Source organism: Homo sapiens, chromosome 4 (genome assembly GCF_000001405.40).
Source record: "Homo sapiens chromosome 4, GRCh38.p14 Primary Assembly".
In the NCBI taxonomy this organism is placed as follows: Eukaryota; Metazoa; Chordata; class Mammalia; order Primates; family Hominidae; genus Homo; species Homo sapiens.
Genome location: NC_000004.12, coordinates 74,569,082 through 74,585,337, shown reverse-complemented (window position 1 = coordinate 74,585,337; position 16,256 = coordinate 74,569,082). Strand labels below are relative to the sequence as shown.

The following is a 16,256-nucleotide window of genomic DNA, read 5'->3' as shown; positions in this document are numbered from 1 at the left end:
ATTTGTGAAAGGTCTGTCCCACCTCTCACTAGGCCCCACTTCTAGTATTGAGGATTAAATTTCAACATGAAATTTGGAGGGACAGACAAGCAAACTGTAGCATATTACACTGAGATTTGCTTTAAATTGGGATTCATTTCTTCCTTTCCCTCTTTTTTTGTCAAGTGTTGCCATTCTCTCATTCAGTTCCCCTCAGCCATTCTCCCTCTCTTCTCTCCCCATCCCCCATCAGGGTGGCAGACATCATTTCTTCAATGAACTTAGTATTTAGAAAGATATCTTCACTCCAAGCATCAAGTCTTTTCTGTCCTGCAAAAGTCTTAAGGTAAGAAAATATATACTGGCCTGGCCACATGTTCAAAATGAGGAAATACTTAAAAAATATGAAGACCAAATAAGAGTTAATTGATACTCCTGTGCATTATCCTGGAACGCAATCTATAGAAATGATTCCTGATGATAGCAACTGTTCATTTTCTAATAACTCACCTCTGGCTTGAAAATACATGTGTGAAATTCTTTAGCCTGATTTAGACAATTACTTTTAGAATCAAACTGTCTTACATTAAACTTCTCAGCTTTCTCACATTCTAGCTGACATCTTGGTTCCCTGAGGTGGGCACTGTAATGGGCCTCCCAGATCCCTCTTCAATGGCCAGATCCCTCTTTTGCCCCAACTTGAAAGTGCTCTTTGCAGACAACCTTTGGCTCCTCTGCTGCTTCAGGCATTGCCTCAGCTGCAAATAAGCTCCTTACCCCAAGTCATGCCTTTTTTCAGTATAGTCTGCCTTTAATTACTGACTGATGCTGGGTAGTAAAGGCATGGCCATACTTCCCCAACCTGAGACCACTCTGTTGGACCCTTACAGCTTTAGAACTCCCTGTGGTTGGTTGAGGCTTTCTTTGAGGCTGCATCACAGCTCAACTTCTTCCCCTCCCTCCCTCTGCCTACTACTGCTTCTCTTCTCTCCTTTCAACTAGTTTTGATCCAAAGGGCACTCCTTAATAAATTCCCTGTGTACTGTGATCCATTTCACCTGCTCCCCAGCTTGCAACACTTCCTAAAATCAACTCCCTCATTTGTAACACAGCACTATTGTAAAGATTAAATAAAATAGTATATGCCTTACTATAGTGCTTGGCACATACACACACCAACAAATGGTGGAAACTATTATTTCTATAGTTGCTCAAAAATAACTTTGCTAAAATACATTCTCAACTTTTCATCTTTCTAATCTAGTCAAACCAGAATCCACTAGTAGAGGGCACCTTTGGATTCAACAGTAAAAGGAGAATCTACAAAACCAGCTCATCAAAAGGGTAAGTTTCTCTTTCCATGCTATGGCTGCTAGATTTGTTTGCCAACAATATGTTGCAACATTTCTGCAGGCAATAGCTTAAATAATGTTTTTCTAAATGGAAGTAGGGAATTCTGGTTGTGACACAACACCTGCAAAGATATTTTCACTTTGGTGCCAAGATATCTTTAGAAAAAATACTATGCATTCCTTATTTTCATCAAAATGAGACTATCTATAGATACTTACAAAGTAATGAGTGGCCAGGAGTGGTAATGCCAATATCTGATTATAGTATTTGTTTAGCTATCCTCTCTAAAAGATCCTTGTCCCATTATAATGCCCCAAATTTGACTCTTTACAATTAACTCCTTTCCTTCTTTATGACAAGGTGAGAATACAAGAATAGCTTATTGTTTTCCATATTAATGTGCATGGCAACTCACTTGGGAACTTATTATAAATGTAAGTTCCAGCATGCTACTCTCAGAGTTTCTGATTCAGTGGATCTGAGTTGGAGCTCAGGAATGTGCATTTTTCAATAAGCACCCAGAAAATTTTCATGCTTATTGTGAGAAACACTTGCATAGAAAATGGCTGGATTAGTCCCTACTCAGTCCAGGGAATAAAGAAGAAGGAGTAAGATTAAAAATAAATTTTTAAACATTGCCACACCCAGGATTTCAACTATCATCTTGTGGAACCCACATGAGACACTTTTGAAAGAGCTAAAACAAACACCACTCCTACAGGCCAAGCTTGTCATATGACACTTATTATTAGGTGATCATTTATCATGTGGAGCAAGGCTTGATCTAGGGTTAAACACTTGCATTTTTTTTTTCTTTCCTCACTGACAGCTCTTTCCCAGCCTGTGTTGAAGTGTCACAGGGCTCAGACCTTCGTCTTCTCATTTCCTAGGTTGTCCATGCTCATGACTGTAAATGTCATCTATTAAATATAAATTCCTAAACTTACATTTACAGTTTTGGTCCCTTGAGCTTCAGTTCAGAAATTTGTCTACTGGGCATCTCCACTTGAATACAGAATAGACATTTCAAACTTAACTTGTCCACAGTTGAGATCTTAACTTATAATCTCCCCAACTATTCATCCCCATGATTTATGTATCTAAGCAAAATGATAACTGAATTCATCTATTATCTCAGGATTTGAAGTCCTTTTTGGCTTATCTTTTTATATCTCTCATGGTCTACATTAAATGGGTAAGCAAATCTGTTGGCTCTACTTTCAAAATAAATCTGATATCCAAGACAGTATTTCAGTTGGATATTTTATCCTCAATGTTCCTGTCTCACCACTTTCATTCCTGCTACATTGAAAAAGCCATCACCATCTACTGCCTGAATTCCTTGCTGGATCCCATGCTTCTTTTCCCAACTTTCCTACAACATATTCTAAACAGAGCAGCTAGACTGATTCTATTAAATCATAAGTCAGGTCCTACTCTCCTTTATTGAAATCCTTCAAAAGTTTCCAATTCATTTCCAGTGAGGTAAAATTCGTATCTTTACTATGTGTCTTAGTCTGTTCAGACTGCCATAACAAAATACCCTAGATTTTGGTGTCTTAAATAACAGAAATTTGTTTTCTCATAGTTCTGGAGGCTGGAGGTCCAAGATCAGGGTTCCAGCATGATTGAGATCTGGTGAGGGCTGTCTTCTTGGCTTGCAGATGGCCACCTTCTTACCGTGTGTTCGCATGGCCTTTCCTTGGTGCATGCAAGTGGAGAGAGAGAGAGAGAAAGAGCAAGCTCCCTTGTTCTTATTAGTGCCTTCTTATAAAGGCACTAATCCTATTAGACCAGGACCCCGCTCTCATGACCTCAGTTCACCCTGACTAACTTCCAAAGGCCCACATCTCCAAATATGATCACATTGGGGATTAGGGAATATGAATTTGGAGGAGACACAAATATTCAGTGTCTGATGTATGGCATATAAGACCCTTCACAATTTGGACCTGGCCTTATTTCCCTCCTCTCTTTTATTCACCTATTCAGATTCAACCATCTCTGTATTCTGGGTTTTATTTGAACCTACTCAGGAATGATCCTACCTTAGGATCTTTGCACTCACTGTTTCCCTTTTCTTCACATAGCCAAATGGTTCTTCTTTAACTTTATTCAGGTGTTTTATTAACTGTCAATTAATCACAAGTGACTTTTTTTTTTTTTTTCTGAGACAGGGTCTCATTCTGTCACTCTAGAGTGCAGTGGTGTGATCACAGCTCAATGCAGCCTCGACCTCCTGGCCTCAAGTAATCCTTCCACCTCAGCCACCTAAGTATTATAGCTGGGGCTACAAATGCACACCACCACGCCCAGCTAATTTTTGTATTTTGAGTTCGAAACCAGCCTGGGCAATATGGCAAGACTCTCTTTCTATAAAATACACATAAATTAGAAGTGACTTTCTTGTCTATGATTTTCAACCAAAGACCATGAGGAACACACCTATAGTCAGTGTTGGGCTTCTTGGCTCATTGCTGTGAGAGAAACACACCATGAGTAGCCATGTAGTGTACAATAAGGGAGTTTTAGAAGGAATTTGTCATAGGGCTCAGGTTTGTGCTAGGTGATTTTAGGGAGGATTCAGTGAAGCATGATTTTGCTTCCATATTGGAGGCTGTCAGAAAATGGGCAATTCTTAACAATTTTTAACTAGGATGAATGGTGTGAGACTAAAGCTATAATTGATGAAGAATCAGCAAAAGCTATTATTTATATTAGCTGGATGAAGGGAATGTTTGATCATTTTTGCGATTTGCACAATATTACTGTGTTTATCTGTGCTCAGATAGGGTTACTATTGGGTTTTGGTTTTGTCTTGTTCTAATACAGTCACAAAGGTGGTCTGGTCTGATTTTACTTTTCTGCAAAATTATTTATGTCTAACCAGAGAACACTTTGGCCATCTCTTAGCTGACAGCAGTTGGGAGCTTCTTTGTTCATACTCAGTCTGAAATACAACTTCTTATTGTTTTTCTTCCCTAATGCCCCTTTATTTTTGTTATTTTTCTTCATAGTACATATCACTGCCATAGTACAACAAACATACCAACATGTTATTGATTTCTCCATTGTCTATAGTCCCCTACATGTAAATTCCATGAGAGTTGGGATTCAGGTTCACTTGTTCCACTCCATGACCCGGAATATAATAGGAGATCAATATAACAGGACATTAATATAATAAATGTTCAATATATACTTGCTAAATGATTTTTTTCTATTACTTGCTAATTTTCCTAAAAAACTCACATCAAAACGAACCAAATTATAAAAGAGCCAAAAGGTAACAAATATCATCTTCATAGTGTATGAAGTTAAACATAAATAAGATGTAAATGAAGACACAACTAACAGATTTATATCAAATTATAGGATTGTTATATAAATGTTAGTATGACTTTTATAATAATCTTCAAATGTTGGACTGTCTTTTACACAAAGTATAACTAGCTTTTAACTCTCTGCAAGAAAAATTGGAATTAAATTAGAGATAAAAATAAATTCCCCAAGTGGGCAGACTGCTAAAGATGAACTACTTAAATATACATATGCATGAATTATTACATAGCTTTTAAGGAAAAAAAATCAAAAGTGCTCCTTGATAGAATATATTCATATTTTTTGCACACATGTACAGTGCATTTTTAAGTAATTTTCATAAGTAAGTAAAAGGGAAGAAACTTACTTTATTGAGTACACGCATAACCTATTTAAGACAACTGCTCACAGTACTTTGCTAATATGCTGCTTTTCTTTGAAATTACATGTGTGGGTGTGTGTTTGTCCACTATGTGTGTATCTGTATTCCCCACTCACCACCCAAAGAGCCAATTACTAGTAAAGCAAACAGAACTGAAAACCATCCTGCAAACGCTTCTAGCTGGTGAGTGCTCGGGGGCACTGTTCAGAGAGTGTCTGGGTCAGTGTGCCCTCAGTTATAAAATTGGCTTTTGGTTAAAATTCCTATAGCCAAAACTTTCTAAAATGTTTATTGTTTCTTTCTATTTCCTTCTTGAGATCTCATTATTATTTCCCTTTTAAGGAATAGGTCATATTGTTTTGCTATAGAAATTGAAAACATGAGACATTGGCTTTCATTTAAGCAAATGAAAAATTAAAGCTTTTGTACTTCCAGGGTTTATGTGTCTATAATTAGAGTCAATCAAAGAACCAGTCTGTCATATTTACCAAATCCAAGGATAATAAAACCTGCATACTAACTATAATGTATTGATACCGTGTGCCAGCCAGTGTAGTAAATGCTTTATACTACTTGTCTCCTTTAATTCTCGCAACACTGAGATTTGTAATAATTCCCATTCTAGACATAAAAAACGGTCAGAAACATCAAATTTCACCTTATAATTGGCAAAGCAGGCATATAAACAGTGGTAAACAGTGCAATAATCCCCTAAAGATGTCCATGTCCTAATCTCTGGAACCTATATGTCACTTTACATGGCAAGAAAGAGTTAGGAGATAAAATTAAACTAAGGATTTTGAGAGGGAAGATTATCCTTGATTAATTGGGTAGTGTAACGCACTCCATGTAACACAAGGGTTTTTATAAAAGGGAGGCAGGAGGGTTAGAGTCAGAGAACAGATCTGATGGTGGAAGCAGAGGTTAGAGTCATGAGCTTTGAATGTGGGAGAAAGGTGCCATGATCCAAAGAATGCATGTAGCCTCTAGAAGCTAGAAAAGACAAGAAACAGATTATCCTCCAGAGCTTCCAGTAGAAAAGCAGCCCTCCTGACACCTGAATTTTAGCCTTGTTCACCCATTTCAGTCTTCAGACCTCCAGGACTATAAAATGATAAACTTATGTTGTTTAAAACCGTAAGTTTAGCCGGGCGCGGTGGCTCACGCCTGTAATCCCAACACTTTGGAGGCCGAGGCAGACGGATCGCGAAGTCAGGAGATTGAGACCATCCTGTCCAACATGTTGAAACCCCATCTCTACTAAAAATCCAAAAAGATTAGCCGGGCGTGGCGGCGCGCGCCTGTAGTCCCAGCTACTCAGGAGACTGAGGCAGGAGAATTGCTTGAATCTAGGAGGCGGAGGCTGCAGTGAGCCAAGATCGCGCCACTACACTCCAGCCTGGCAACAGAGCGAAACTCTGTGGAAAAAAAAAATAATAATAAGTTTGTGGTAAATTTTTATAGCAGCAATAGGAAACTAATACATAAATCAGGTCTGTCTAACCCCCATGTTATAAAACCATATGACAATACAGGCATTTTCACCAACTCACACACTGGTTGGTTATATAAGGCAAATTCAACTGAAGAAAAGTAATAATCTTCATTTTGTTACTGTAGACCATATTGACTCTGCATATTTGAAAACTACTTCATGAAACATGATTTCTGTTTCCACTGTTTATGTTAAGGAAGTGTGTTCTCTCAGTGAGTTTCCCTGGATGAAGTTATTTGTTTTCTCTGTCCATAATAGATGATTAATTTATTTAAGGATGAGTAATAAGCAATTTTTGTATTGTACTCTGTCATCTGTACTTACTGTATAACTACTTAATCTGCTAGTTTTAACAACCATATTGATTTAGCCACTCAAGTTAATCCCTTTCTGTGTATGTTTTGAAAGCATATAGGTGAAAACCCAGCTATAGTTAATGCATCATCAAAATAAGTTTACCAACCAGGACTATTATAATCATCTTTATCAGCAGTCTTCTTTCAGCAGGAAAATTAGTATTAGATTCTTTTTCCAAATGCCAGTCCTCTGGTAAGGGCGTCTGAGGTGAATTTTCATTCTTTTTTTTTTTTTTTTTTTTTTTGAGACGGAGTCTTGCTCTGTCGCCTAGGCTGGAGTGCAGTGGCGTCATCTCGGCTCACTGCAAGCTCCGCCTCCCGGGTTCACGCCACTCTCCTGCCTCAGCCTCCCGAGTAGCTGGGACTACAGGCGCCCGCCTCCTAGCCTGGCTAATTTTTTTTGTATTTTTAGTAGAGACGGGATTTCACCGTGTTAGCCAGGATGGTCTGGATCTCCTGACCTCGTGATCCGCCTGCCTCAGCCTCCAAAAGTACTGGGATTATAGGCGTGAGCCACCGCTCCTGGCCAATTTTCATTCTTTAAGGGGAAGAATTACAGTGTGTTCATATGCCTTCTATTTCAAAAATTGAAGTTAGGAAGAGATGGAAATCTTCTGAGGGAAGGTGACTAATGCTGGCAAAGCCTCCTGTCATTTATCAATTATTTATTGGGGACCTATTATGAATAGTAGGAGCTGAGATGACACTGCTATACATGCTAGACAAAGAATAGAGTTTACTTTCAAGGGTGGGAGATAAAAAATGAACATATAAAAACATAAAAATCAGAAGAAGTTCTATGAAGAAAGACTAGCAAAATTGAAAATGAATGTGCTTGTGAGATTAGCACCTAGCTTCAACACACAAAACAGAACAAAAAGTGGCCAAATAACTCTCAGAGTTAACTCATTTCATTATGAGTATGTCAACATGAACAATTTAGATTTTATGTCGAGCAAAAGCAGAAAAACCATTAACTACAGATCTTTCATCTTGGCTTATCTGTTTAGTTGACATAAGCAATCAGTAATAGTCTTTTCCCAACACCTCTTCATACCAATAACTGGGTCTCACAGTGACAATGGCAGGGAGACAAACACTCCAACATGACTTGCTGGATTTGTCCCTCAGCACCAAGTGGTGAGGGTTTGTCTTGCTGTATCTTTTAGTCTATGCTAGAAAGTTTCTCTTGAATGTTTCCATTGAATGTAGCATATGTAACAAAAATACCATCAAATTTGAAGGTAGTTTTGGTTGTCTGACCATCAATACTTCTTCCTTGGGCACCATTGAGACGAATCATTAATATTTCAAAGAGAAGCTCATTTGAGACATTGAAAAATATACCCTCAGCCTCCAAATGGAGTTTTTATGTCCCTTTCAGCTAAAAAGTGATATATTGGTTATCTGGAAAAGAAGTCTTGCCCCATTTAAACCTCATCCACTTCTCTAAAGATGAAGTCTCAGGTTGTTCACATATCTTTAAAAGTCTGAATAAGCAACAACCACAATTGATTTATTATTTTCTATCTGTACTCTTTAATAACATAATCAATAGCATTTTGATGGGTTGCCTGACATTTCATCATGAAGCAATCTTCTAATAAGGATTGTGTGTATAAGGATATTGCTAAGTGGCCCATCCACTCTAGCTCCCTGGAAATAGCTTGAGAACAAAGATAAGCCTGGTTTTATCCAAAAGTGTTAAGAAAATATTTTTTTTCTTTTTGCCTTTACTTTGTGTTTTATATTCTGTCAAAATCGGCACTATCTTCCCTCTGTAGGAGGGACTGTACTTTGTTTTCTTTCATTGCAATGGGGTAGAAATCGTCCTAGTACTTCTGCCTGAAGTTGTGATTCAATAACCCCTTTAGGGTTTATCTGATCCAATTAGAAGTCATGAACCTTAAAAATCTTCTGGTGGGCAGATCACTTGAAGTCAGGAGTTCGGGACCAGCCTGACCAACATGGAAAAACCCCATCTCTACTAAAAATATAAAAATTAACCAGGTGTGGTGGTGCATGCTTGCAGTCCCCAGCTACTCAGGAGGCTGAGGCAGGAGGGTTGCTTTAACCCAGAAGGCAGAGGTTGCACTGAGGCAAGATTGTACCACTGCACTCCAGCCTGAGTGTCACAGTGAGACTCTGTCTCAAAAAAAACAAAAAAAAAAAAAAAAAAGAAAAGAAAAAACATTTTTTGGTGGGGTTAGGGGGACAAAGAATGGAGATGTCTTCTTCTTTCATTGTTTCACTCAGACAAAACTTAAGGGCCTATGGCAAACACCCAACACAATGTTCTCTATTTCTCTTGTTGAGGACAATGATAGGCCTTCAATCTTTTATGTGTTAGAAGTTCATTCAAGCATATGAATATATGCCTGTGTATATCCATTCAACAAATACTTTTCTAAGCATGAGGGACATAGGAGTGAATATTATTAGAAAAATCCCTGACCTCATAGAGACTATGTCCTGACAAAGGTGTTCTTTTCATAGGGAATGTGCTGATCTTACATATTCATCTGCTCTCCTTCTTTACTGCAGATGTGTGGAATGTCATTTGGAAGGGGTCCAGAGACATTGGAGAATTTTATTTAATCTCATCTTATTTTCTGGGAGAGGGAAAAGCCATTACACTGGATTGTGAGGGAGATCTCAGGCCTTTAATAGAGTATCTTCCAAATATTTTTCTGCAATAGCTGATTTCTCTTTTACTGCTTTTCATTACTCAGATCAAATTAGCTAAGCAAAAGGGGGAAATTAAGTGCCTGGAAGGATTTGGGATTCCAAGGGTAGAACTTGGAGGTGTACTGGACAGACAAATGATGTGGATCTCTCTGTCTCTCTGTCTCTTTCTCTCTCAACTTTGATTCTGTCTACATTAACCTTATTCTATCCGTATGCAGGCAGGCTTTCTTCAGGTGTAGCTCATGGGATTTGGTGCAATGTCTTACACAGAGTACATGCACTGTACCTCTAGAGAATGAGGCAAGTTTTGAATGGAGCAAACTTCCATGCTCAAGGGGTAAAGGGGGCATAGCTATGGAGAGCTCTAAGTGTATAATTCTGTTTAGTGACCTCAGACTATGCACTAAAAGTCTGTATATAAAAGCTCAGCTTTTGCTATCTGTCTATCCCCAGGCTAGACCATGTGGTCATGATCACATGAAGTAGGGGAGGCAGGCACCATTCCCAGAGAAAAGGATGTTTTCACCTGAAAAGATGGGAACTGGATACTAGGAAGATGTTGCCAACTCTCTCCTACAGCATCACTGCTCTGTAGGGCCGATGGGACAGGATTGTCTTTGCTGCAAGTGGATGGAAGCAGTTTGGTCCTTTTCTATCTTGGTGCTTTTCAAAATATAGTCCCATCAGGATGCATCCCCACTGCACCCTCAGTGCCTGGAACAGTGCATTGCACTGGGTATGTAGCAAAAAGTTGATTGACTGAATGAGGAGGAAACTCCTAGAGGATATTGTCTATGAAAACAGGAAAGTGAACCATGAAAGAGGAAGACAAAGTCTGACAAACAAGGGATACAACAAAGGATGGTGGGGATAGAAATCACCAAAATCATGGTAAGGTAGCAGGCCTTGAGATTAACCAAACTAGACTGGGGCAGATCAGAAGGACTGGAGAGAGATTATAGGAAGGTAAAATTGATAGGCTACTTAACGTACTTAATATTTGAATACATGGAAAGAAGATTAACACAGCTGGAGAAGAGTTTCCATAAGTTCGTGATAAATAGAAAAATTGGCAAAGGAAAATGAGATAGAGCCTTGGGATTCAAAAGAACTTAAAAGTGGAAAAAGTCAAAAAGAAAGAAAAGATACTCAAGAGATATGAAATGGCTCCACTGCCAAAAGCATCTCCATCATCATAACAATGTAAACAGTGGATATCAATCTGCTTGTTATCACATCGGGAGACAGCAGCAGGAGTGTATTCACATGTATGGTGTGACTGCAGGTAGAGTATGAGAAAAAACAAAACCTTTATTATCTGCAGCTGGAAGCCAACATGTAGGGCTTAGAACTGAAATAATATTAAGCAATATAAATAAGCATGCTAGCTAGTGATATGGAATTTTTTTATTTTTTTAAATTAGTTTTTATGTATTATTATTATTATTATTTTATATGGAGTCTCTCTCTGTTTCCCAGGCTGGAGTGCAGTGGCATGATCTTGGCTTACTGCAACCTCTGCCTCCCAGGTTCAAGCAGTTCTCTTGCCTCGGCCTCCCAAGTAGCTGGGATTACATATGTGCGCCACTACACCTGGCTAATTTTTGTATTTTTAGTACAGACGGGGGTGTTGGCCAGACTAGTCTTGAACTCCCCACCTCAAGTGATCCACCCACCTCTGCCTCCCAAAGTGCTGGAATTACAGATGTGAGCCACCACGCCCAGCCAAAAATTTTTAAAAAATCAAACAAGTTGGAAATAGTTGCTTTTGAGGAGCAAGAAATGATTGGGAACCAGTGGGTGAAACAAGGCTTACGTGTCACATAATCCTGTAAGCTACCTGCATGAATAAATTTAAGACAAATAAAAACTGCATTATAAGTTATCTGTAGTGTTTCTTCCCATGTCTTGGTATAGCCTTTGATTCTAAAATACTAATTAGATCATTTCAAGCCATTCATTTCTACTCTTTACCTGTCCTCACTCATCCTTTCCATACGAAACAAAGCTATTCATCTACTTTGTAAGGGTCCAAGAAACCTCTTAGCCTTCCTTGTCAAAGAGATGATTAGCAAATGATGTATTTCAGGTTCTAGAGCAGCCAGTGAGGAGATAGTTTGAGATTCCCCACCCCCCCTCAGTGCTCCTCCAGTCACTCCACATGGGTTTTCATCTGCCTGATTTTCTAGTAGTAAGACAGAATTCTTTGGAGAACTATGGGAAAGTAGGTAATTTTGAGAAAATTGATTTTGATCTCTCGATACTCTTTCCAAATCCTCATGCAGCCCAGGAGTCGTGGGAAGTTTAAAAAGCCACCTCTAGTCTAAATGTTTTGTTTTTTATGGAAGTTTAAAAAAACACCTCTACTCTAAGTGTCTTATTATTTATCTCCAGTCAGGCTTGATGCATTTCCTATAGTAAGGAAATGTTTTAGTAATAAATGTTCTGACTGGCCACCCAATGTCTTACCTGTAAAGAAAGGACAAAGGGTGACATCATTCTATCCAGTCAACTCAGTAAATATTTAATAAAAATAGAAGACATCTGTTGAGCACTTATAATCCACACAACAGCCTTATGAGCTAATCACTCTATTGACCATCCTTAATTGAAAGAAAGATTAAGCAATTATTTGCTTAATTCCCTCAGCTTGGAAGTGACAGAGCTGCAATTCCGGCCCAAGAAGTCAGACCCTAGAGCTCATCTCTAAACCACCACTCACTCTGTATCTATCATCTGGAAGGCCCTCTTTCTGGAGACTTCAGATTCTTGGAGCATCACATGTGTGTACCAATGTTCATAATATCTTAAATTTTGTCCCTCTATTTAGATCAGAAAGATGAAGGCCTGAAACCTAATGGATCTTTCATATTGTTTAAGTTAAAGTCTTTTATAATCCCAATCTTCAATATTAGTAACAAAGGAAAAGCAAAAAGATGTACCCCGACTGTCAGTATTAGTAAGAATAATGTGCTCCTTTGGAAGCACAACAGGTTAGGAAGGAAGCAACACCCTTTTTATCTAAATGTCATCCTGCAGTGACAAAGCAGTGTGCTCTGGTGTTGGCCAGAACCAGAGTAGCTGATACACATATTCAAGAGGCAAAGCTGGCCCTAGAAACATCCTACATCTCTCAATGATGGCATCTGCAGCATTTACTTTCATACTCTGCCATTGTGTAAAAGCCTGCAGTAATTTTTGAGGATCTGGCCTTAGGCCATTTATTTCTAGAAAATAACTAGAACATGCCTCAGAATAATCTAAGATCATTCTACATCTGAAATATGCAGATGTAGACAGAACTGTCTTTGTTGTTTCTTAGAGTACAATTTTTCCTTGTTTACATATTTTAGTACATTAGTTTTCTGTTGCTGCTATAACAAATCACCACAAATTTAGTGTTCTAAACAATACAGACTTGTTATTTTAAAGTACTATAGGTCATCCATCTGATATGGATCTCACTGGGCTGAATCAAGTTGCTAGAAGCTGCATTCATTTTGGAGGCTTTCAGGGTGATTCTGTTCCCTTTATCATTTGGATTGTCAGCTGAATTCAGTTCCTTGTGGTTGTAGGACTGTGGTCCCCATTTACTTGTTAGCAGTCAACTGAGATCCATTTCTAGCTTCTAAAAGATATCCACCTTCTTTGGCTCAGGTCAGACTCTCCTTCCATCCTCCAGCCCTTCTTCTTTTGTCATCTCTCTCTCTAATCATATCTATGACATATTCTCTGACTTTAAGGATTTGTGTGATTACATTGGGCCTACGAAAATAATCTGGGGGAATCTCTCCATCTCAGCTTCCCTAACCTTACACACATCTGCAAAGTTTCTTCTGCATGTAAGGTAGCATATTCACAGGTTTTGTGGATTAAGATGTGGATATATTTGCAAGATCATTCTTCTATCCAAAACCATTTTGGAGCAGAGTTAAAATGGTAAGAAGAATGAGGAAGAAGAGGAAATACAGCTGCCACTGCTATGGCTGTGTGTGCGCATGTATTGTGTGCATATGGGTGTAGGCACACATGCATGTATACAGGTTGTCATTATGAATAGGTAGCTATTCAATTATATAAAAAAGAACTTTAAAAACAGATGGTAAGCATGGTGTTGATGCTGAAAAGAGGATAGTTTTGTCTGCCTAATTCTTTCTTCTTTAAATTCACTGGACCCCAATACACAATGTATGCATTAATACATATTAAATTACATGCCGTTCTGGCTGAGTCTAAGTGCAGAGACGATAATCTTTATTCCTGCTTCTAGAAGCAATAGTTCTAAGTTGAGGCTATTAGATTGGGTCTTTTCTCTGCGTTGAATTTTCTGTGGAGGAAAAGGTTCAATGAATTTAATTGGTTGTTTCGTGGAGTGAAGAATATTAAACTGCTAACTCCGTAGAGACATAGTCTTTCTTTACAGCTTTGAAAAGAGTCTAGAATTTAGAATAAAACGTTGTTATACTACACTGCAGCTGATTCAAAATCTAAGATTATTCCAATGTGTGCTAAGTAAAAGTATACCCACATAGTATCAATTCTAATTAGATTTTGTTAAGCAACTGAATATTGTTAATAAGGGTTTAAGAAAAAAATTATTGACTTGTGAAAGGAAATGGCCTTATCTTTCACTCAAGCAAGTAGCTTAAAATACAGTTGGCATAAACAAATATTAGTCATTCCTCTAGTTTCTGTATATGAAATTAATTAAAGTAATGGATGTAAAATATATTCAGCAATAATATTGCTCTTAGTTTTTAAGTTTCACTTTACAGGTTTCCAAATCTTTAACCTGGCTGTTGCTGTTTTGTTTCATTGGCAGAAATTACTAAGACTTACCTGCATATGAATCCAACAAGGAAAATGTTTTCAATACTAATTGTATTCATGGATAAAATCCCAGGAATTATTTTATACATTCCCTAAAGTTTTGTTGAGACACTGCTGTTTCTGAGACTGGGAATCATGTATAAATCAGATTTTTTACTAGCACTTTTTATTATGTTATCATCTATGAAAGAATTATAAGTCCTTATGACAACTTTAATATAAAAAGCCTGTCATTTTGATTTTCTTAAATGCTTTCTTCTATTGATTAAAAAATTAATAATCTTAGAAAGAATTTTTCACAGGCAGAGCCGTTTCTAGGGAATTCAAAACAGTGGTGATCACCCAAGTCCTTGCAGTTTTTGTAATAGACTTCTGCCTTCTACTACAAGTAATATAATAGTTGGTTTTGCCAGCCATTAATATCAAAAAGTAAAAATTATTACCTTCAATATCTTGAGAAATCAGATAAAGTGATCTTTCCTATTTCAGAGCTTCCCAACCAATGTGCTACAAATGGGTAACAGACATCTTAGATTCATTGATCCCTTCACACCTGGCATTTGTAACATATTTTATGTGTGTGTCAGTGTCTCTAGTTTTAAAGCGTACGGGTTTCTCCTCACCTGCTGCACTTCCAAAGGAGCTGATTTCAGCACTTTTTTGTTTCCCTTTTCTTTGTGGTATTGAGGCTTAGGATTCTAAGGAACTGGAACCTAGAAAATAAAAATGATTCATAGATCTCAACCCTTCACCTTTCTGTTCCAGCAAAGGAAGAAAACCCAAATGTCGTGAACAGCTTGTTGTCTCTAGCACCATAGTCTTTTTCTTTTTTAAAAAACCACTTTATTGTGGTTCAATTGACCTACAAAAACTGTACATACTTAATCTATATAACTTGATGAGCTTAAATAAAATATACTTGTAAAACCACTACCATAATTAATGCCATAAACATACCACATCCAGAAGTTTTCTCATGTCCCCTTTATCAATTACAATTATTATAATTCATGATAAGAACACTTAACATAAGATCTATCACCTTAGTAAATTTTAAGTTATAGTACAATAAACTATAAGTACTACTATGCCATATAATAGACTAGGTCTTATTCATCTTGCTTGACTGAAACTTTGTACCAATTGACAATAACTCCTAATTTCCCCCTCCCCACAACCCCTGGCAACCACCTTCTACTCTCTGCTTCCATTAGTTTGACTGTTTTAGATTCCTCATAAGTGAAATCATGTAGAATATTTTTTCTGTGTCTGGTTTATTTCACTTGGCATAATGTCCTTCAGATTAATCCATGTTGTCAAAAATTGCAAGATTTTCTTCTTTTTTAACGATGAATAATATTCCCCTCTGTAAGTGTGAGGGAGTGTGTGTGTGTGTGTAACTTTGTCTTTATCTATGCATCCATAAATAGACATTCTGATTTCTTCCATGTCTTGGCTATTGTGAATAATGCTGCAATGAACATATGTGTGTAGATATATCTTTGACATATTGATTCATTTCCTTTGGATATATGTCCAGAAGAGGGATTGATGGATCATATGGGAGTCCTATTTTTAATTTTTTGAGGAACTTCCATACTATTTTCCATAGTGGCTATACCAATTCACATTCCCACCAACAATGTACAAGGATTCCTTTTTCTCTACGTTTTCGACAACACTAGGTATAAGGGGATATCTCATTGTGGTTTTGATTTGCATTTCCCTGATGATTAATGATGTTAAGCACTGTCCGTTTACCTTTCAGCCATTTGTATGTCTTCTTTGGAGTGATGTCCAGTCAGTTCCTTCACGTATTTTTAAATCAGATTTTTTCTTTGCTATCGAGTTA

The 16,256-nt window shown here is 37.7% G+C and overlaps 2 long non-coding RNA genes across 2 annotated transcripts in view; one reads left to right on the top strand and one right to left on the bottom strand.

The window, feature by feature from the left end:
* The first annotated feature begins 232 nt into the window (after window positions 1-232).
* The window catches only part of LOC107986229 (uncharacterized), a 35,506-nt gene continuing 19,482 nt past the window's right edge, over window positions 233-16,256 (top strand). Inside the window, exons 1-2 of the long non-coding RNA XR_001741513.2 lie at window positions 233-325; window positions 1,244-1,323. This is a non-coding gene — a long non-coding RNA (uncharacterized LOC107986229). The remainder of the gene's footprint in view (window positions 326-1,243; window positions 1,324-16,256) is intronic.
* LOC124900716 (uncharacterized) lies at window positions 4,301-15,117 on the bottom strand. Its single transcript, XR_007058141.1, has 2 exons — window positions 15,028-15,117; window positions 4,301-6,453 (listed from the first exon to the last, which is right to left on the bottom strand). It is a non-coding gene; the product is annotated as an uncharacterized LOC124900716 (long non-coding RNA).